At 36.0% G+C, this 22102-nt stretch overlaps 1 protein-coding gene across 13 annotated transcripts in view; it reads left to right on the top strand.

Annotated features, from left to right (window-relative positions):
* TFEC (transcription factor EC) overlaps positions 2090-22102 on the top strand; it is a 224745-nt gene continuing 204732 nt past the window's right edge. For 9 of the 13 annotated variants that reach the window (XR_007059992.1, XR_007059993.1, XM_011515970.2 and 6 more), the window contains exon 1: positions 2090-2196. The gene's annotated coding sequence lies outside the window, so the exon portion shown is untranslated. Of the gene's footprint in view, positions 2197-11298; positions 11443-22102 lie in introns of those variants that run through there. The other 4 variants (XM_047420053.1, XM_011515965.3, XM_047420052.1 and 1 more) reach the window with 1 other exon arrangement.

Raw genomic sequence — 22102 nt, 5'->3', positions numbered from 1 at the left:
TCTTACCTCAGAGCCCTTACACATGCTGTGCCTACTGCCTGGAATGTCAGTCCCTCAAGTACCTACATGGTTTGCATTCTTTCACTCAATTAACTGCTCAAATGTCAACTTAACAAGGAGGTTCCTGGCCATCTATCAGATTCACCCTTTCCTCCCCCCTTCTAGCACACACAGCCTTTGCCTATCATTGTCTATTTTCCTCCATCATAGCAGATAATTTGTCTAATTTGTTCCCTGATTCACTCCTCTAATGCTTAGAACAGTGCCTGACATGTGGTAGATGATTAATAAGTATTTAACACATTAAAAAGTAATTAAACACTTTGCTAGCAAGGTACTTCATAAAGAACATGTTCTCACATACAGTTGTCCTTCAGTATCTGCAGGATACTGGTTCCAGGACCCCTTAAATCATCTTTAGATTACTGATAATATCTAATATAATATAAGTGCTATAAACATAATTGTTATACATTTTTATTTGAATTTTTTTGTTAATGAAATAAACTTATTGTTTTTGTTAACAATAAAAATACAAATAAAATTATTATATTGCTTTTGTTATTTTCTTATTTTTATTGTTTTTTTCTCCAAACATTTTCATTCTATGATTGTTTGCATCCATTGATGTGGAACTCATGGTAAGAAGTAAGTGTATTCTATAAATCAGAGTTAGACATTAGTTAAAGGCTTACATAATTGTTGGAATAGAATTTGCCATTAATTATTAACCACCTATTTAGTACTTATGGTACTGTAAGATATTTTACTAGGTAATTGGGAATTTAGAGAAGAATAGAATATATTTCTATGATCTAGTAATGGCAACACACAAAAATTTGATACTCACCTTTGTTATAAGACAGAGAAGCTATTATTGTCTCCATTTTACAAATGAGAAACTTGAGTTTAGAGTGCTGAAATGACTTGTCCACAGTAATGCATACAAGTTAGTGAGTGGACCAAGATCTGCTGCTAATTAGTTTGCATTACTTTAGACAAGTATCCGGATCTTCTAACCTTCTCCTCTTTCCATTCTCTCATACTACTATTCCTCATATCCGCTCTAGAGGGAAGGTAGCCCATGTATTATACCGGAGTGAGCAGAGGATATTGTTGTTGTTCTACATATGGATGTTAAATGGCACACTGCTTTTCAAAATATATTAATTATAACTTCATTCCTGAGTCAGTCAGAATTGGCTAGGTTATAGCATACAACCCCCCAGATCTCAGTAGTTTTAATAAAATAGTTTATTTTTCATTTATGCTACGAGTCCAACATAGCTTATAAGGAAGCTTTGTTCATCAGAACCACTTGAGGCCTGAGCTGATGGACGCTCCATCTGGACACCTGCTTTGGTGATCACTGAGTCAGCTGCAGAGGAGAGCTGTAGAGTCAAGCACTGGCAAGAAAGTGTTTCAGCCCTCCCTCTTCATTGACCAGAACTAGACTCGTGGCCACTACTAACTCTGAGTGAGCTAGAAGTAGAGAAGAATTGAATTTGAGTGAAGTGGTCAACACTGGTAATAATTGTCATATGCACGTATTCACACACACACACACACACACACACACACACACACACACTTTTTGCCCTTTCTTTCTTTTTATTTCCCGGGGTGATAACCAACTTGCCCTACAAGACTCTGAATGTGGTAAGCCCAGTGTTTCCTGCTTTGTTTTACTTATTGACTTCTCTAGGAAGGATTTGTAAAATCCAGAGAAACTGAAGCCAGATTATGATGATTGAGGGACAATTTATTTTCTCCCAGGGGCTTTCACCTAACAGTGGCAATATTGTCCTCTTATGGCACAGTTAAATTTGTGCTTGCTACTCAGTTTTTTCTATTAAGCACCTGTAACTTTTATTTGTGTATAGATAGTTGTTGATAAAATAATAAAATATTCCATACAGCAAAAAAAGTAAAGAATTGGACTGGTGTTTGTAATTGCAATTTGTTGAAATCATGAGCTCATAAATATTACTCCTCCTCTTTACCATTATACGAAAATATGAGAAATGAATGTAACATCAAAAAGAGGAACTAAATCATGGTTTATATAGCTTGGCCTCCCTTAGAAGTAGAAAAAGAGGAGAAGTGGGAGTAAACAGAAAGATAATGCTTATGGTACATACAAAACAAATGGAGAGATTGAGTCTCACGGATTCTTCGCCTGAGCCACCAGCAAAGGTAATTTTTCCTCTGAATTATTTAATTGGAACTACAAAGTATAAAATCACTCGTATTTTGGGCTTTAAAATCATATGGCTATAAATTTCAACTTAGTTTAAATGTTTAAGATTATTAACTTTTAACTTACATTAGCTCAAAAAGTTAGAAATAGATAAAACTTTTAATGCTGCTATTTGTTTTTTATGGATGATATTTGATTATAATGCTTCACTGGTGAATTCACTAGAAGGAAAAGGAAATGGTAAATTGGATAACTGCTTTGTGAGACTTCTAAATGTTACTCTTTTTGGACTGTGCAAAATGGTTTCAAATATCGCTGAAGTTTATAGAGAATTGGCGAGACTATGTTTCTCTCCTTTTATGCAATATATATGTCTCTGAAGAATTGGTTGAAAATATAATTATTATATATAATGTAGAATTTATTAATCTAGCATCGATTAATCATCTCAGAAAAACACAAGACAAAATGGTTATTTTATAAAGTATATTTTTGATAAAAACATATTTCATAAATTTGAAAATTTGAAAATTCTATATTCTTAAAGTAGGGCATACATAAATTTGAATTTCATAATTTAGTAAAAGTGAGACATTTATTTCTGATTATCAGTGTAAATACACTTGTGACTTATTATTTCTTGTATCATGTTGAATCCTATTTCAGATAGCTCTTTAAGTAAATGAGTTATTTACATATAAAAACTGTTAAGTTACATATAAAAACTGTGAGTCAGTTGAACTATATATGAATGGTATAAAACACAAGTTATTCAAACTCATATTTGTAAAACTAATTTTCATTATTGCTTAAGCATGACAAATTATATAATAAATTAGCAAAACATTTTATAATCTTTTAGGGACAAAAATGAAGAAATCTTTGTACATTTTTGTTACTTCATCTTTTTAATATGAGCAAATATCAAAAACAAAAGCAAATATAATAAGAAAATGTCTTCTTCAATTCACATATTAAATTAGGATTTGTGAAATACTACAAAATAGGATTTGTGCTATTATAGTGGGACCTAGTATCACATTTTTATAGTAATATGCTATTGCAAAAGAAAGAAAAAGCCTAACATTTTATCCATTATTATGTACTTTAAGCAAGGAGAGCACAACCAAACTTCATAATATATTTTTGTACTTCAGAACATCAAATTTTTTCCTTTGGATATCATTGATTTTCATCAGCACACTTTTCGCTATTTTGAGAATTGTGCCAGAATTTTGAGAAAATAAAAAAATAAATGGCTTAGTGAGCATAATTAAGATGTGAGCTCGTTAAATTTGGCTAGATATATAGTTAGTTGCTTAAATTACGTAAAGCTGACAAGAAGAGGGAATTCATGCTTCAGATGTTTGCATAATTTTTCACAACTAAATAATTTGGCTTACTCAGTTTAGGTATTTCTTTTCTAGTCTGTAATGCTCATTTAAAGCTACAAAGAGTTTTAGCTGATATTACTTTTGAAGATGAGGGGGAAAAAAGAGAAATAGTCATTAAAAAAGACTCTATAGGCTCGAAAATGGACCAGAAACCTCTTTCATAGCATTATACTGAAAAAATTTAGGTGACAAATATAGGATGCTCAGAGAATGCCTCTTCCAAAAATGTGTTAAGTTTTCAAAAACAAAAGTTTGGGTAGTTATTCAGTTTTTAAGGGAAGCTTAAACCTATCTCTTTTATTTTAATTCAATGCATATAGAATAACACAATAAAGGGTAGTATTTTCCTAATTTTACAAATAAGGAGATTGTGGCTCCGAAATATTAAAAGAAATATTGTGTGTATCTGCATGAATTGTAAACGGGGGACAGAGAATTTGAAGATAGGTGTCTGATATGTGCCACATTTCAAATTCAAAGCCGAATAATGTACAGCCATGTCCTCCAGGGGACTGGTGTTTAGTGGGAAGCAGGACAGCAGATGTGCAAGTGAATGAGTACCTTCGGTGTGACAGAAGTTCTGTGTGTGACTGTATTAGAATACAGGTGAGAAAACAAAGTGGGCCTGGACCATTGAATTTGGGGATGCCTAGGGAAGGCTTTAAGGGAAGGCAACAGTTAGAAGAGTTGTCAGGAGTCCAACTTCCCTAAAAAGAGCTAAAGATAATGTGGGCATTTTTGCATCTGTTCGTCTCCTAGTCACTTCCTAGCCCCACACTCAACATATTATTTTTTGATTTCCCTTAGAATCCTGATTTCCATTTTTCTCAAGACTGCTCATTCCCTACTAAACTTACTTTCAGTCACCATATACTAGTTATAATCACAAACCCATTTCAGTTTTGGAATACCTTTTCCTTATTGTGTTATTCTATATGCATCAAATTTAGTATGCATAACTTAACTGTTGAATAAAATTCAATTTGTAATGTTATTTGTGCTTACTTATTTATTTTTTTTGGAACATCTAGGACCATGTTAACTGTCATAAGTGAAAATAAGAAGAAGAGGAAAGGAGAAAATGGGAAAAGTGAGTCAAAGGAAGACAAAGGAAAAGAGAATAGAGAAAAAAAGCGGGAAAGAAAGGGGGCAAAGGAAAAATAAATGCTTGTTAATAAATGTGAGCAGTGCTATGCTTTCACTCTTCTGCATGTGAAAGTATCAAAGCATTGAGATATAGGAAAATTTTAGGGAATATGATAAAAGAAGGATACAATTTTAAAACAGAACATAAGAGAGTATGGGAAAGATCATCGGAGGCCTAATGTATGAAATCCAAACTCTTGCTGTGATTGGAAGTCCACAAATCATTTTCCAAGTGCTCCATTTTAGTTGTAGTTATTTCAAAATAAAATTCAGTATTAAACAAAAGGTAAGACAAAAAAAGTATCAATAAGGTCAACTTAAGCTAAGCCTTCCATATAGTATAAAATGTATATGTGGAACAGAATTATTTGATCACAGGATGTGAAAATGGCAAAGTATGTTAATGGCCATTTAGTCCAAAACCTTCATTTAGGAGATGAGGAGATGAAGGTATGAATGCCTTTACCGTGTACAAACAAGAAAACATTAGGAGCCTCACATTCTGGGCTCTATTCATATTAAATGGAGGCCTGTTAACATTGATATGGAAGATGGCATATTTGTAGACTACATCTAGGAACTGTAAAAGCAAGCCCTTGAGAAATCAAGTAGAAATTCTAAAGAATCACACACACAAAAAAATAGATAGCTTAAAATACACACAAGCCATTTCAATGTGGCCAAATTGCAAGAAAAGATTCAAGGCTGAGGATGGGTGTAGTTATGGAGAAGCCCACATGAAATAAATTATTCCTCTGGTTTGTAATATCTTGTTTTCCTATGTTTTTAATGTCTTTTGCTAATTGTGGTTTGATTATAATCTTAGAAGTAGGACTGATATGAAGGTTATTTTAAAAAAATAGATTTTTTATCTTAGAATCTATTTGACACCCATGATATATATTTTTAGAGACAAATGTTTCAGAAATAATTGTGTCTAATATTCAAATTTGTTTACACTCCATGCTTTGCTCCAAGAATGCTCCATGAGCTGTCTTTGAATATGATTTAAGAGAATGAAATCCCTCTCTCCCTCCTGCTGTTTCTGTCTTTCCAATGGCTGGGAGCCTCTGGGGCAGTGTAGACATAAGTGTCCCACTCTGCTGTCAGCACAGGCTAAGATTCTTTAAGGGAGTAACCAGGACTCCTTCAGCATCAGGACCAGGGCCAGGAGTATGAAGCACTTGCCTCAGGTATGAAATTTAAAGGAATACAAAAAACAAAAACAAAAAACTCAGAAATCAAGATAAATAATATATTAATGCAATATTTTTTAAAAATCAAAATTTACGCCCCAAACTCTGTAATGCATAAAGTATCAAAGGATCAGTAAAGGTGCTGTGCTGAGCCATATTGGGGACAAAAGAAAAAGAAAATCAGTAAAGCTGATCTGAGAGCTGGGGAAAAGCAGGGCATTTTATTTTATTGGTAAGGTAGATCTTAATAATTAGGCAGCCCCGTGACAAAGAATGTTATAAAAAAGAAAGATAGAAGCAGTCATTCAGTCAGCCAACCTAATCTTTTTGATATGTTAACAGTCCTGATTAAACATGTGGCCTGAGGATGGCAAGTGAGGACCGTGCTTTGGAGATGCTGCTAAAAGCAAGTGCATAAGAGCATTCACAGCTGGACATTTCTCCCTAGAAGTGTTTTCTTTCTTTCTTTCTTTTTTTTTCCTGGCACTGCAAAGACATCAGAGTTGGTAGAAAGCAAAATGTGCCTGAGTTTAATGGGATCAACTTTAAAAACAAAAACAAAAAACCTTTGAGTTAGCCATCTGAGGTAGATGCTGGCAGGTTTGCTGTAGGCCCAATGGCACAGTAAGAAGTACGACGTGGAAATATGTCAACTGTAGCATAGCGAGAAATTGCCTTTTGTAAAATAGTCCTTCGATATCTTAAATAAACGTGATGTTTGATCATGTGGCTGTGGTTGCTTCCTTTCCCTTAGCTAATTTCTATTCATTCTCTAGTTCTTGGTTTAAATATTAGTTCTTTAAGGAAGCTATCTCTAATTCCTCAGAATCGATTAGATCTCCCATTTGTATGTTCATTGGACCACATATGTAGCATTCATCAGAATGATGTGTTTCAGTCAGGGAAACAGAAATCGTACTAGGTCTTTCAAGGAGAGTGAATCTAATAGAGAGAATTGGTTACATAACTGGTGAAAGCATTGAAAGCAACAACTGAAAATGAGGTAACTCAGAGACTGAGAATGTATTTGTGACTTCCGGGGGTGCATAGCAGGGGCTAGAACCACCAAAGAGGAAAATTTGGCAAGGGATAGTATGGCAGAAGAGGAAAAACCAGGGCCAAGGCTGAGACCCCTGTGAAAGGTTTCCAGTCCCTTTCAGAGATACCACCACAAAACAAAGAGAGAATTAATATCCAAGAGAGGAAGATCCGCGATTTCTCCCCTCCTACTACCCTCTAATCTTGCACCAATGCCTCTTATTGGCCAAACCAAACTGGAAGTCAATTGGCAAAAAATTCTAGAAGATAGAGTTTGCAGGGATATATCTGGTTTCCTGTGATAATAAAACAGAACCTGGGAGAAAGGAATTAGGCTGATGCAAATATTAATACTTAATATCTTAAAGAATTATATATTCATTAATGCTATTATAAGTGCAATGCCAATCTCTCTAGGCAGTCTGTAATTTCCATGGATCAGGAATGTATCTGCCTTGTTCATTAATATATATTCCCAGTCCATTTCATAGCATCTAACCCATAGAAGATTTTGAATAAATAAAAATATACCTGAATGAATGCCATCATTCCTACCATGCTTTCAAGAATTATGAAACTCTTGAAGGAGTACATGTTAGTTACGTACTCCTTCAAAAGTGATTTTGAATAGGAGCTCAGTGATATACCAGGAGATAGTAAAGCCTCCATCTGAAGAAAGTGAGGAATGGAGATAGAGAAAGAAAAGGAGGTGCATTTGAAATCGACAGAGTTTCAGAGCCTGGAAAAATTCTTTTTTCTCTAAGCCTGGACTGTTCTATGCATCTCACCCTCTCATTTCATAGGTCACCCAGTACATATATCAACTTGGGAGGATGTTTATAAGGAATAGGAAGACTAGCATCATTTGAAGAATGGCCATTGAGTTCAAGATGCATAACTAAAATTAAAGAACAGTCCTCTTAATGTCTGTTTCAAGGCAATGGTTAGCTGGCCCTGTGTACTTTACCACTAAGAGCAGAAACACTCTTCTCTCCTTACAATTTCATCTAATCCCCTGCTTTAAGAGATGGGTCACAGACATGAGATTTTAAAACCTGGGGACACTTTTCTGTTTTCTTCCTTTTTCTATGATTCCAGTTACATGTGTTATCAGGCCACTTGAAGTTATCTCACAGCTCACTGGTGTCCTCCTAATTTTTTAAGTCTTTTTCTGTCTTTGTTTAATTTTGTCCAACAATTTCTGTTGCTGTTTCTTTAACTTTCCTAATCTTTTTTTTATGCAGTGTCCAATTCATTCCAATCTTACCTAGTGGTTTAAAATTTTTACTTCATTATACATTTTATTTGGTTTGCTAAAATAGTAAAGGAAGGAAGAGCTTTTTTTTTTCCTCTTTGTCCAATTATTGTTAATTACTACTGGTAAAGTGAATGATCAGAGGAGGAATGCAAAACAGAAAGCAATAACCACAACTGTGACAACAAAGAAATTAAAAATAGCCAGCTGGGCACGGTGGCTTACGCTGTAATCCCAGCACTTTGGGAGGCCGAGGTGGGTGGATCACGAGGTCAGGAGTTTGAGACCAGCCTGACCAACACGGTAAAAACCCGTCTCTACTAAAAATACAAAAATTAGCCGGACATGGTGGCTCATGCCTGTAGATCCCAGCTACTCAGGAAGCGGAGGCAGGAGAATCCCTTGAACACAGGAGGCGGATTGCAGTGAGCCGAGATTGCGCCAGTGCACTCCAGTCTGGGCAACAGAACGAGACTCTGTCTCAAAAAAACAAAACAAAACGAAACAAAACAAAAACACCCACAACATCGCCACCACTGCCTAACCTAATTTGCTCAAAGGATAAGGGATGTCATTGCTATTTGTCCAGCCTGTTGGTATTTCCTGCTTGCAAGTTTTTCCAGTCTTCAGGCTGGGATTTATATTGTCCAGTATAATTTTTATTTGAGGCATTGTACTTTCTTCCTCTATAACTTAGATTTAGGTTTTAAAAATATCTTTCGTGGCTCGCCTCAACATGCTTATGCTTTCCTCTACCTTCTTGAACATATGGTGTGGGGTCATAGTAGCTGTTTTAATGTGCTTTTACTATCTCTGTCATTTGCTTCATTCATTGGTCAGTTTTTGTTGAATGATTTTTCTCCCTCTCATTGGTCATATTTTCCTAATTTCTTGCATGACTAATAATTTTTGCTTGGATATCGACCATTGTGAGCTTATGGAATTTTTAGTATTTTTTTAAGAAAATATTTTTGAGCTTTGCTCTAGGATGCAATTAAGTCGCTCAGAAACATATTTATCCTTTCACAACTACTTTTTCAACTTTGCTAGGTGGAACCAGAGGAGGCTGGTTTTGTCTCCATTACTAAGGCAATACGATTCTGAGTACATTTCTTGATGTATGTCCTGTGTAATATAATATTTCTCCCCTCTGGCTTTTGGAAATAACCATTCCCAGCTTTATGTGATTTCTGGAAATTGTTCCTTCTGCTCCTTTCCAGTCATTGCCTGGTCTCATGTAGTTTGCTTACACACATGCCCTGATCAGTACCCGCTTGAAGACTCTAGGGGAACCCTCTGCAGATCTCAGGAGCTTCTTCTCTTTGCAGCTCTTTTTACTTTGGTAAACTCTGCCCTGCAAATTCTAACTGCATTGAGCCTCCCAAATTCTCATCTCTGTCTTCTCAATTCAAAAAGAACACTGGACTCTGTTTAGATCCCCTCTTCTTGGGTTTATTCCCTAGTTTATTTTCTTTTATCAGGATCATGCTTCTGTGGTGCCTGTTGTTCCATGTCGGAAAATTGTTTCATATGTTTTCTTTGACTTTTTAGTTGTTTAAGGTATGAGGGTAAATATGATCCTTGTTCTTCTATCTTGGCTGGCAATGGGAGTCCTTGACATTTTTTAACTGAACTAAACTTTTTGCGCAAATTGCTCCTAAATACCACTTTTTTATTAATTCAAAGTTTAATCTAGGTGTACTTGGAGAGATGAGTATTACTCTGCACCCTCAATAAGAAAGGGTTTACTACCTTTTTTTTTGAGAAAAAGTGGTCACAGAGAGATTTATATTTGTTTAAACTATTCTACTTCCTGTATTGGGAAGAAATGAAAAATCTTCTAGAAATTTTATCTTTGTTTACATCCAAGGTGCTTCCTGAATTAGTATGGATGGAAAACAAATATTTAACCCAGTGAAACAAATCAATTCAGGTTTCAGTAGTATTTTATAAACCAATTAAATCTGTCACTTCATATTATCTGAGACTAGATATGTCCATGCATTATTTCATCCATTAAAATGTAAATCTCCCAAATATAAAAATTTTTATAATGATATTAAGAGATAAGCATATTTGTCCTGTTGAATGAAAAAAAAAATTCCATTGTAACAAGTTCTCATTTTGGAAAAAAACCAAAACCAAAACCAAAAAACAAACCCTACTACAAGGAGAAGAAAAATCCAACTGAAGAATAAAAATTTCAACAGCTAGGTCTGGGCACAGTGGCTCATGCCTGTAATTTCAACACTTTGGGAGGCCGAGGTGGGCGGATCACTTGAGGACAAGAGTTCAAGACCAGCCTGGCCAACATGATGAAACCCCATCTATACTAAAAATACAAAAATTAGCCTGGTGTGGTGGTGGGTGCCTGTAGCCCCAACTACTCAGGAGGCTGAGGCAGGCGAATTGCTTGAGTCCAGGAGGCAGAGGTTGCAGTGAGCTGAGATCGTGCAACTGCACCCCAGCCTGGGTGACAGAGCGAGACTCCATCTCAAAAAAAAAAAAAAAAAAAAAATCTGACATAATATCAAAGGAAATATTCTATGTTTAGATTAATGTTACAAGAAATCTATTTTGAATTTAAGATTGATCATTCTTTTAAAAGAAATTCAGACTTTCTCACATATTTCTTTATTTTCATATGCTACTGATTAAGCATGTGAAATGCCAGAAAAACTCACTAAACAGTGCACTGCATTCTTTCTAAAGGAGACCAATGAGAATACTGTGGTTTGGATAAAATTATGTTTAAATTATGTTTAGAATTCATAATTTTAGAACTCCAAATCCTGATTTTACATTAATTATAGTCATTTAAGAGGGATGCATACAAAAATTAATGTTTAGCACTTTGATTCCGGATAAAGCCATATATCAGGAAGGCATTATTTTAATATAAACAAATATGATGTGGGTTTGAGTCACACTCACATGCCTTCCAATCACCCTTACTCTACCTCTGAATGCTAATATAAGAACATGAAAACTCTTCTTATGAATTTTTAAGTGTTAGTTTCACTTCCTTTAGCATAATATTAAAATAGCATTCCCCTAACTATACACTCTGCAAGAAAACAATGTGACAATAAAAATGCAAGCATTTTATTTGAAGAGTAGGTGCCAGGGTTGTTGCTGTTGTTTTTCCTTAATATCCCCAACCATGTGATATATAACCGTGTGACTGTGGTGGTTTGGTTGTCAAGCAGAAAGGTAGGTCATAGTTTTTATTTTATTTTTTTTAATGCCATTGAATTATAGTTCTAGTTTCTCCAAAATAAAACTGACAAGAATGTCCAGTGTTGATACATGTATTCAATATTGTATTGGGTGTCCCAGCTGTTCTAATGCAATTTATTCCCTGAATTCTAAAATTTACTAAATAATTTTTTTCTATTGTAAAAATAATTCATGCATGTCATTGAAAATCTTGAAAATAGAGTGAAGTTGAGAATGGGCACTTATAGTTCCACCACCCAAAGAAGAGGAGCTTAAACAGAAGTAAGGCCTTCTGATTAACACTGAGCAATTTTAAGTAAGAAATACAAGACTAGTAGTAAAACTATGAAAGCAAACAAAGCATAACAACTATACTTTTATAGTTGTTAAAAGTTAATTTTAGATTAAGTGTGAAAAAGATGTTGGTGTTTTGGAATATGTAATTATTTGGAGGTTAAAAGCCAACAGAAACAAACTTCTCAATTTCAGAATTTACTTGGTGGGGAAACAAGATAGGGAGGAGAAAGTATATTTGGTTTTGTCAAATTTCCATTTGGTTTTATGTTGACTGTTGTAAAGGAGTTTACTGCATGGATGCCCCATTGCCTAGAGTCAAGACAAACTACATGAAGAAATAATGTTTAATAGCTGAGTCCAGTGATGAACACTTAATGTCTCGGAGTTCTTTATTGTCTGATCTCAGGAGAAAAGGCTGAAAATTAAGAGTTTTTGTTTTATTTAGTTGGATGTGGAATGCAGGAGTTGGGACAATGGGAGCAATTTTAAGCCAGAAATAAACTTTACTTTTTCATGAGTTATTATTTTAATTGTACATTGCTGGTTTTCATTTGCTAATAAATATTTTAGGATATCTCCATCTCTGTTCATCAATGATACTAATTTTCTCCACTGTGTACTTACTGCAGGCAATAAAAATACATTGAGGAATACAATTTCTTTTCCTCAAAACTTTGAAAGAGTTTTTATAATATCAGAATAATCTCTTCCATTAATTTTTGTGAAATTCTCCTTATAAAATTATAGAAGCCTTGGGTTATCCTTTGGGAAGATTTTAAACTATTGGTTAAATTTCCTTAATAAGACTATAATAGTTTTCTGCTTTTACTTGATTCAGTTCTAATAGTTTATGTCTTTGGTGATTTCTTAATTTCACTTGGGCTTTCAAATTTATTGGTGTAAACTTGTTTTTAATATCTTTTTAACTCTCACCAGCATCTAGTTATGTCTTCCCTCTCATTCCCTACATTATGTATTTGTGAATTATATTTATTCCCCTTGGTCAACTTTGCTGGAGGTTATTTTTGTTATTTCTCTAATAACTAACTTTTTTGATGGTTTTAACTTTATATTTGCATTGTTTTTTACTGAGTTCAGCTCTAATAATTATTTTTTCATCCTTCTTTTTCAGAGGCAATTCTGCTATTCTATTTCTCAGTTCATTAAGTTGGATGCTTAGCCATTTTTGTCAGTTTCAAAGATTTTAACTGGATACACCATAATTCTTTCGGTTTTCCTTTTTACTCTATCAATCATTCTTTCTGGATCCATTTACCCTTATCTCCCTGATCGCTTAAAGTTTCTCAGAGATTAGTCTTTGGGCCATTTTTTTTTTTTCTGTATCTACAGTCCTTCTCTTGATGATCTCATCGAGTGTTGTGCGTTTAATTAGCGACCCTATGTGAATGACTCGCAGATTTACATCTATAGTGAAAAACCTTTCTCCAGAGCTCCTGACTAAATTGTGCAACTTCTGGTTTGCATCTACACACTGATGTCTAATAGATGTTTCAAACTCAACATTCCCGAAGAAAATTGCTGATGTCTTCCCTCTTCCTATTGAAGCTACTTCATCCATAGCCGCAATGGAGGTTAAAGATCCCTTCTTTTTTTCCAGTATTTTGGACAAAATAATTCAGTTATCTAGAGTCTCCTCTTGCCCAATCTATTAGGAAATCTTGTCATTTTATACTCAAAATAAATCCAGAATCCAGCCACCTCTCACCATTTCACTCCTTCTGTTCCTGCTTCTGTTCCCTGCTCTGAAACAACCACTTCTCACCACTCCATTGCTCTGTTCGTGGATTCTGTTCCCTGGTCTAAACCGTCCTCATCTTGAGCCTGGATTACTTCAATGTCTCCTAATTAATTTCCCTTTTGTCTCACCCTTCACCCCACCCATAGCACTATATACTTTCAAAGAGCAGTTAGTGTGATCCTGCTAAAATTCATGTCAACACTTCACTCGCTCCTCTTTCATTTACTATCTCACTGAGTAAAAGCCAAAGTCCTTAAATTGGCCCCTGCTCACTGGGTTCCATCCACATTGGCCTCCTGTTTCTGGAATACTCTGACCACAGGGCTTTGTACTGTCTATTATCTCTGTCTGGAACACTCTTCCTTGCAAGAAACCCCTAACTAAGTTGAAGTCTTTGCTTAAATCTCGCCTTCTTTATGAATCCTCTTCCAATAGCCCTATTTAAATTTGTAGACCTCTGCTACTTGTCAATCTTACTTCCCTTATCTGGGTCCATTCCTTTCACAGCATATTTTACTTATTTATTAGAGTTATTATTTATTGGCTCTTCCCCCCATTGAAATGTAAACTCTAGTGGAGCAGGAATATTTTTTGTCTATTTTATCCACTGATGGATTCTCATCACTATCCAACACATAGTAAGTACATAATATATTTTTGTTAAATGGAGTGAATGATTGAATGAGAGATAATTTCATAGGGTATAAGATTCTACGTTGACAGCTACATTTTTGTTAGTACTTTGAAGTTATTACTTTCCACTCTTCCATTATTGTCACTGAGAAATCATCCATCTCAGCAAACTATTGCAAGGACAAAAAACCAAACACCGCATGTGCTCACTCATAGGTGGGAATTGAACAATGAGAACACTTGGACACAGGAAGGGGAACATCACACAATGGGGCCTGTTGTGGGGTGGGGGGAGGGGGAAGGGATAGCATTAGGAGATATACCTAATGTAAATGACGAGTTAATGGGTGCAGCACACCAACATGGCATATGTATACATATGTAATAAACCTGCACGTTGTGCACATGTACCCTAGAACTTAAAGTATAATAAAAAAAATATAAAAAGATAAATCATCCATTAGTCAATTCATTGTTCTTTTTAGCTAATCTGTCTTTTCCTTTTGGATGTTTTAAGAACTCTTTGTCTTTGATATTCTGCACTTTCACTATAATATGTCTAGATATAGATTTCTTTTATGTAATTCTGATAAAAACCTTGAACTTCCTATATTTGAGGATTAACATCTTTCATCATATTAGGAAATGTCTGTCACTATATTTGTGAATATTTCTTCTACATCTTTTTTCTCATCCATTTCTGAAACTCTAATTAGACAGATATATGTTGGAATCTCTATTTTTACATCTTTTAACTTTAATATTTTCCACTCTTTTGATTCTCTGTGTTTCATTTTGAGTAACTTATCCAGATATGTCTCGCAGTTCACAAATTTGTCTTCATCTTTGGCTAATCTGTTGCTTAATCCAAACTTTGAGTTCCTAATTCTAGTTATCACATTACTCACTTCAAAAAATTTTATTTTGTTCTTTTTCAAATATGTCTGGTCAGCTCCCATAATATTTTCTTTCTTCATTGCACTTTCAGTAGTCTCTTTTATTTATTTAAATATATCAGGTAAACTCATTTTGTAGGCTTCTTCTGATTATTATAAAAGCAACCATCTTTGATGGCCTTACTTGACAGTTACTAGTTTAAATCTTGGTTCTCCCTCATGATTGTTTGTTCCTTGGTATTTGGTGGACTTTTTCACTGTGAGCCAATCTCAGAGCATTAACTATGGGACTTTCTTAAGGTATGTATTAAAATGAGTTTGTCTATAGAAGGTTTGGGTTCCTTTTGTCAGGAAACTGTGTATCCTACCAACCCTGGATCACTTTAATCTGCATTTTCTAATAGGTTATTTTGAACCATATAGGTGATGTGAATTCTTGCCTTAGACACCTGAGATGGAGGCTTGTGATTAGGAATTGAAGATCATTAAATTTCTCCAACCTCTTTCTGCCCTCCACTCAGAGGCAAAGCTGCAATAGGCAGGTATCTCCATAGACACTAAACAGGGATATTTCTTTCAGACACTGACAATAATGCTCTTTTTTCAAGGCTCCTGGTTTTGGTAGGTTTTCTTTGTTATACTCAGGTCCTGGACTCCGCCTGTCATCCCTCAAGTGGAAACTTACTGAGTCTAGAACTCTGTTTTGTCAGGGATTGGCAAGCAGTACCGGGCAAATTCCTACTCTGAGACTTACTTGTCTTTGTAGATCTGCAGTTGCTCATGTTTCTGCTGGTTGGGGAATTCCTTGACTGTCTTCCCTTGCCAAGACAGGTGTCAAAATGATTTTTAAACTGCTAGTTAACATTATTGGGTATACTGTACTCGTAGGTTTTTCACTTAATTACTTGTCTTCCATTATTGCTGGAAACAGAATTCAAACTTTCATTTCCTGTCAGTGTTTGTTTTACCTTTATCTATTACTTTGAATTTGTCATCTCAGTTTTAATTTGAGTTCAAAAATATAAAGGAAATAGTGATAGTTGATTTTTAATTATGTACCATACTTGAGTCTTAAAGTCTTACTTTATTGGTTGTTATAGGGGTTTTGGCATTTTAACTTATAAGCAGTCTGAGAAGTTTTGCCTGCTCTAGAATGACCTGATTTTAGTGGATGCCATGGACATTTCTAAGTCAGTAAGTGAAGAATTCAAGTCCATTTGTGTGTGGATTCAGTCTGGCACCTGGACCTAAGTTAATCCAAAATAACTTGGGTTCCTGAGAGTATGTCTGAAACTGAAACTCCTTGAGACCTGATAATATCTCCTAGGTCCCTCAACAAATCAAAAGTTTCTTTTTGGCTTCTAGGATCTTGGTATTTGTGTAGAAATACTCTGGCTTCTAAGAATTGCCTGTAATTCATTGAGCTCAGAGCATCTGCTAGATGTGAGTCTAACGGTTATGGTCTTTTATGTGTGTGCACCAAAGGAAGTGGTCTCTGTGCTGTGAGTTGATGAGTGCTGCCTGACCCCTTCTGACCCAGTGATTTTTCTCCTCTGTTCGTCTGTGGCCTAGAGATGACTGTTTTAGCTACTTCACATGGGACAGCAAAAGCAGGAGTCACAATCATCAGTTAGCTCAGGGGTGGGGGTGAGATTTGTAGATATCAATTTACTCTCTCATGAGCATGAATTTTATTATTAGTAAGGTGACCATCATTTGGGAAGGAAGAGAAAAGATTAGGACAGGTGAATTTTCAGGGAGAGAAGAGGAACCAGTCTCAAGCTGTTTGAATAATTTAGTCTTGTGAAAAGAATAATTCCACAAATCAAAACTTTCCTAAGGTAAAAGGAAAAAGGTGGGGTGATTGTTATAGAATACAGTTTTATTTGTATTTACTTTTACTTTTTTGCTACAGTTGGCTAGGATTACATTTTTCCTAGCAATATAGTCTATATTAGTCAGGGTTCCTCAGAGAAACAGAATCTATCTATTTATCTGGAGAGAAAGAGAGAGAGATAGGGAGAGAGAGAGTGGTAACTGACTCACATGACTGGTGGGCTGGCAGACTGGAGATTCAGGTAAGAACTGATGTTGCAGTCTTGAATCTAAAATCTTCTGGGCAGGGCAACAGATGAGAAACTGAAGTAGGAATTCTATGCTGCAATCTTGAGGCAGAATTGCTGCTTCTTCTGGAAATCTTAGTCTTTACTCTTAAGGCTTTCAACTGATTGGATGAAGCCGACTCATATTATGGAGATTAATTTTCTTTATTCAAAGTCTACTGATGTAAATGTCAATGTTGAGGCCAGGCATGGTGGCTCATGCCCGTTATTCCAATGCTTTGGGAGATGGAGGTGGGAGGAGCGTTTGAACCCAGGAGTTTGAGACCACCTTGGGCAACGTAGTGAGATGCCCATTTCTAAAAAAAATAATAAATGTCAGTGTAAATCACATTAAAAAATACCTCCATACCAAAATCTAGACCGTGTTTGACCAAACAAACTGGGCATTGTAGCCTGGCCAAGTAGACACAAAAAATTAACAATCACAAATCTTATAAAATTTTAGTGGACTGCCTGCCGATTTCAGTTAACATGATTCAGTTTGCCAAAACCTGTAACCTTTGGGTTATGCCTTGTGAATACTTCAGTTTAATAATCCAAATACCTAGATGAGTGATATTTCTTAGAGTTATTGTGTTGAGGCTCTACCTTTTCTTTGTTTCATTTTTTTTTTTTTGATGGAGTCTCACTCTGTTGCCAGGCTGGAGTGCAGTGGCACAATTTTGGCTCACTGCAACCTCTGACTCTGGGTTCAAGCGATTCTCCTGCCTCAGCCTCCTGAGTAGCTGGGATTACAGGCGTGTGCCACCATACCTGGCTAATTTTTGTATTTTTAGTAGAGACAGCGTTTCACCATGTTGGCCAGGATGGTCTCGATCTCCTGACCTTGTGATCTGCCTGCCTTGGCCTCCCAAAGTGCTGGAATTACAGGTGTGAGCCACCGCGCTCGGCGAGGCTCTACCTTTTCTTAATAGCTGAGTGTCAGTAGAATCAATAAATGTTTATAAAAACCTAGGAAAATGAAGAATGTCTGGGAGCCCTTCATCTCTAGTCTCTTCTGTGATTTCCCTTCTCCCCATAAACCTGTACTAAACATTATAATTAAGGGCATTGTGATATGTTTGCAGAAGGAGTAGGGACAGAGACTTGCTGGAGGCACCTGGAGAGTGTGTTTCCTCACTTCTCTGACTCTTCCCAGATCCTTTTCTAATTGCTAGGATCCCGCAGTTCCCTATAGAAGCATCAATCATATACACAGCAAGGGGTGATGTGCAGAACTCAGTTTGGAAAGACATCTATTCAGTTTCTTGATTTAGACTTCAGCAATTTCAGTTCACTAAATATGTTTTCTCTGTCTACTTCCAGCTGGGAAACCCTGGACTGATGTTTGTCCCTTTCATGTTGCACTTCATTCAGCTTTTCGTCCTGGAATGAGAATTATTAACCCTCATATCCTCTGCTTGGCTTATTCTGCATTTTTTATAAAGGTCTGTTATGACAACCTCTCTGTATTGATTAGGGGAGTCTGGTCTTCTGTATCAAAAAGATCTCATAGTATAGAGGTGCAGATAAGATAGGAGTTTATTTTCTCTTGTGTGAATAGTCCAAAGTCAGGCAGGTGGTCTGAAGATCTTGGTAGAATCTTTTCTCCTGAAGGTCAACCAGTATATTTGTTGGTAGATTGGGTCTGTCCTTCTCAAATGTATTTTTGTCTCTGGTTCAAGGCAATTGTCCCAGTGGTCACCATTATCCAGCTAGCGAGAGTTGTAAAAGAGGAAATTTAGGGCAGGCTTCTTGTCTAAAGGAGATAACTTCAAAGTCGCACGCCTGACCTTCATTCACATCCTGTGAGACTGAACGTAGTCACAGGGTGACGCCTAACTGCAAGGGAGGCTGGGAAATGCAGGCTTTACCTCAACAACCAGGTACTCAGCTAAAACTCAGAGGGTTCTATAAATAATCGGTGGTCTATGCTACATTTATACCAGGCATTCAATTTTTTATTATTGATAGTTAGGACTTTTTTGTTATAAATAACAAATACTTTTGAGCTGGCTTTAACAAAAATGGGGAATTTATTATAAAGATACAGGAAATCCAAGGGTAAGAATGGACTTCAGGAAGAGACTGGAAACAGGAACTGAAAATTTTTAGAATCCTTCCTCTGTCTGCATCTCTGCTTCTCTCTGTATTTCTGATCCTTTCTTTTTTCATAGCCTGGCTTTCTTTGACCCTCTGGGCACATGAGAAAAAGCACCTTAAGAGCATCTGAAGAGCCCTCAACAAGTTAACCTGTGGCAATTTTAGCTGCATGCAGAACTCATTTGACTTCTCTAAGTTTCAATTCCAAATATCTGGGTGGAGGAATCTGATTGGTTCAACTAGGGTCAGGTGTCTACCTCTGCTGCACTTAATTGTTGCAAATGCGGTGGGAGTCATACAGTACAATTGTAGCTGGTAGGACCCAGCTGTATGTGGGAGTACATTCTGAAAAATAAAGATAGATTCCCTAAAATGTGTCCACTACCTCGAGTCTTATCAGTATTCTTAGTAATCCATCACTTCAAATATGAATGATCGTTATATTTTGTTTCATCCTCTACGAGTTTATGGCTAGCGTATGTCATAGAGACCAGAGGAGTTCATAGTAAATCTAATTGTTTGGGAGTTGTGAAGAAAATGGAGAACCCCTTGGGCCTCTGAAGATGTACATTCTTCTAGCTGTATAGGTAATCTTTTCATCATAGAAAATTGTACTTGGGAAAGAAAAAGAGCTGCTCTGACAGCTGCCCACTGGTTACTAGCCTGGCACTCACAGTAAGGCACAGTGTTCTCTTGCTTAACCTAAATGGCACCAGTATCTCGTGATATCACTCTGTGATCATGATGAAAAGAGATAAACCCCAAACCAGACCATAATAATATCTGAACAAGGACCATGTGCAAACCACAAAAATGACCAAATATCTTTCCCTCCTGGTTAACATGAGCGACTATTTATCAATTGCAGCCTTAAACTCACTGTGTTTTTTCTGCTTCTTAGAAAACTATTGATATCCAATTGTTGAATTAGCCCTACTTTTTGATAACATTCAGTCTATAGCTAAGTCCTTCTTTGAGCCCTCCCTAAAAATCATGTAAAACAAACCCAACTTCTGTTACCTGCTCCCAATATCACCTTTTTGCAGAGATAACTTCAGAGCTCCTCATGGGATATGGTGGCCCCTGCTTCAGCAAATAATACATCTAACTTTGACTGCCTCTGTGCTTCCAGTGGTCTTTGGATGGTGGTCATTAACATTCTTTTCTAAAGAAGCTGAGAAGAAAAAACAAAACAAAGCACACATGATCATACCCAAGGGACTCTGTCTGTTTTACCTTTGTCCAGTTGTACTGAGCATGTTTTTAGATTAATGAGTTGGCTTGTTTAGAAGGTGACTAAAGACACCTATTATAACTTGAGTAGTTCCATAGTTTGTTGCAAGACAACATTGTAACAGAAACTTTTTTCACTTAGTTATTAAAAAATTATTAAAAATTTAGAAAAATCCCCATAAAGATTATTTATTATTTATGACATTAACATCATGAGAATATATTAATTTAAATTGTTCCAGCTCCTTTTCACAGTTCTAGATATTTAAAATTGCTCACGCAATTTAAATTTGGAATCATAATTGTCTTTTATTTTTTACTTTTACTGGCTATATCCTGCCTTACTGATACATTCCTCCTGTGAACCTCTGAAACAACTCTTACAGCACTTACTTACTTAGCATGCCTTATTAATTAAATTTTAATAGGTATGCATCTGTTTACAAACCTCTGTAATTTACAATGATTGTAAATTTCTAGACATTATAAGAGAATTTTTTCCAAGTCTCCTAGAGGGCTTGATACTTTATACAAAATAATTGTATTATAGATAAATGGCTGATATCTGGATGGTGGGGAAAATTTGTTGACAGCCCAGAAAGATTGCTAGATTGCAAATTCCTTGAGGAAATACATTGTGTCACCTCTAGTAGATAGAATTTCATGTCTCATGGATGTGTTAGTTCATCATGGTTGCCCTATAAACATTTGCTGAATGATGAAATGCTACAGTGCACATAATGCACTACAGAGTGTGGAGGGTCAGATGAGGGTTCTAAATGGGAAGGCAAAAATTGAAGATAGTTTTAACCTGACTTCTCATTTAGCCTCTATGGCTGGGTATGTGTTATTCATATTCCTTTAGGCATTACATCTAAAGTAGTTATTGGCATGCATATGTTGTAAGACACTGCCAATACATCATTGTTTTAGTTTATAATACACATATCTGTTTTGTTATTAGTTTTAATGATGTAATACTTTGAAATTATATAAAAGTTCTTGTCAGCAGAAATTCAGGATTTGGAGAGGATCTACTAGGCTCTCTCAAGGATGCTGAGGTAGTCTTTGGAGCCTAAAATTCCTCCTTATGAGATGGAGTCATTAAAAAAGGTAAATTTATTCAAGCATGTTATTGATTCTGTGGAATACTAAACAGAACACATAGATTAAATTGGCTCTATTCTTGCGTGAAGAATGTTAAACTGTGGAATCTAAACAAAGAGTAGACCCTCTTCCAGAGCCACTCATTTCTTTCACTTATCTGATTTTCCATCATGTCATGCTTTATTTCTCAGAGTTGCCTCTTTCTAGATTCCAAAAGTCAATCCTCCAGTCTTGGCCTTTATTACTGAAACCTTAGATTGTTTTAATAGCCAATGAATGGATTTCCTCACAGTCCTTCACCTCTCCTGGTAGAATTTTTCACTCCTGCTTCATCTGCTATGCTTAACCTGCTATGATGATATTTCTAGAACATTCCTTCCATTGCATCATGCCCCAGCATAAAACACTATGGTGCTCCCTTTTGCTTTGTTTATCCTTGGATCTATGTCTCTTGGACATCTGCAATCCAGCCTCATGGGGGTTATGCCCATTTCTGTCCAAGTGCCCTGAGTGCCTGGTCAAGG

The sequence above is a fragment of the Homo sapiens genome, chromosome 7, assembly GCF_000001405.40.
Source record: "Homo sapiens chromosome 7, GRCh38.p14 Primary Assembly".
Taxonomy (NCBI): Eukaryota; Metazoa; Chordata; class Mammalia; order Primates; family Hominidae; genus Homo; species Homo sapiens.
Note: the sequence above shows the minus strand (reverse complement) of the source record. Positions and strands in the feature narration are given on the sequence as shown.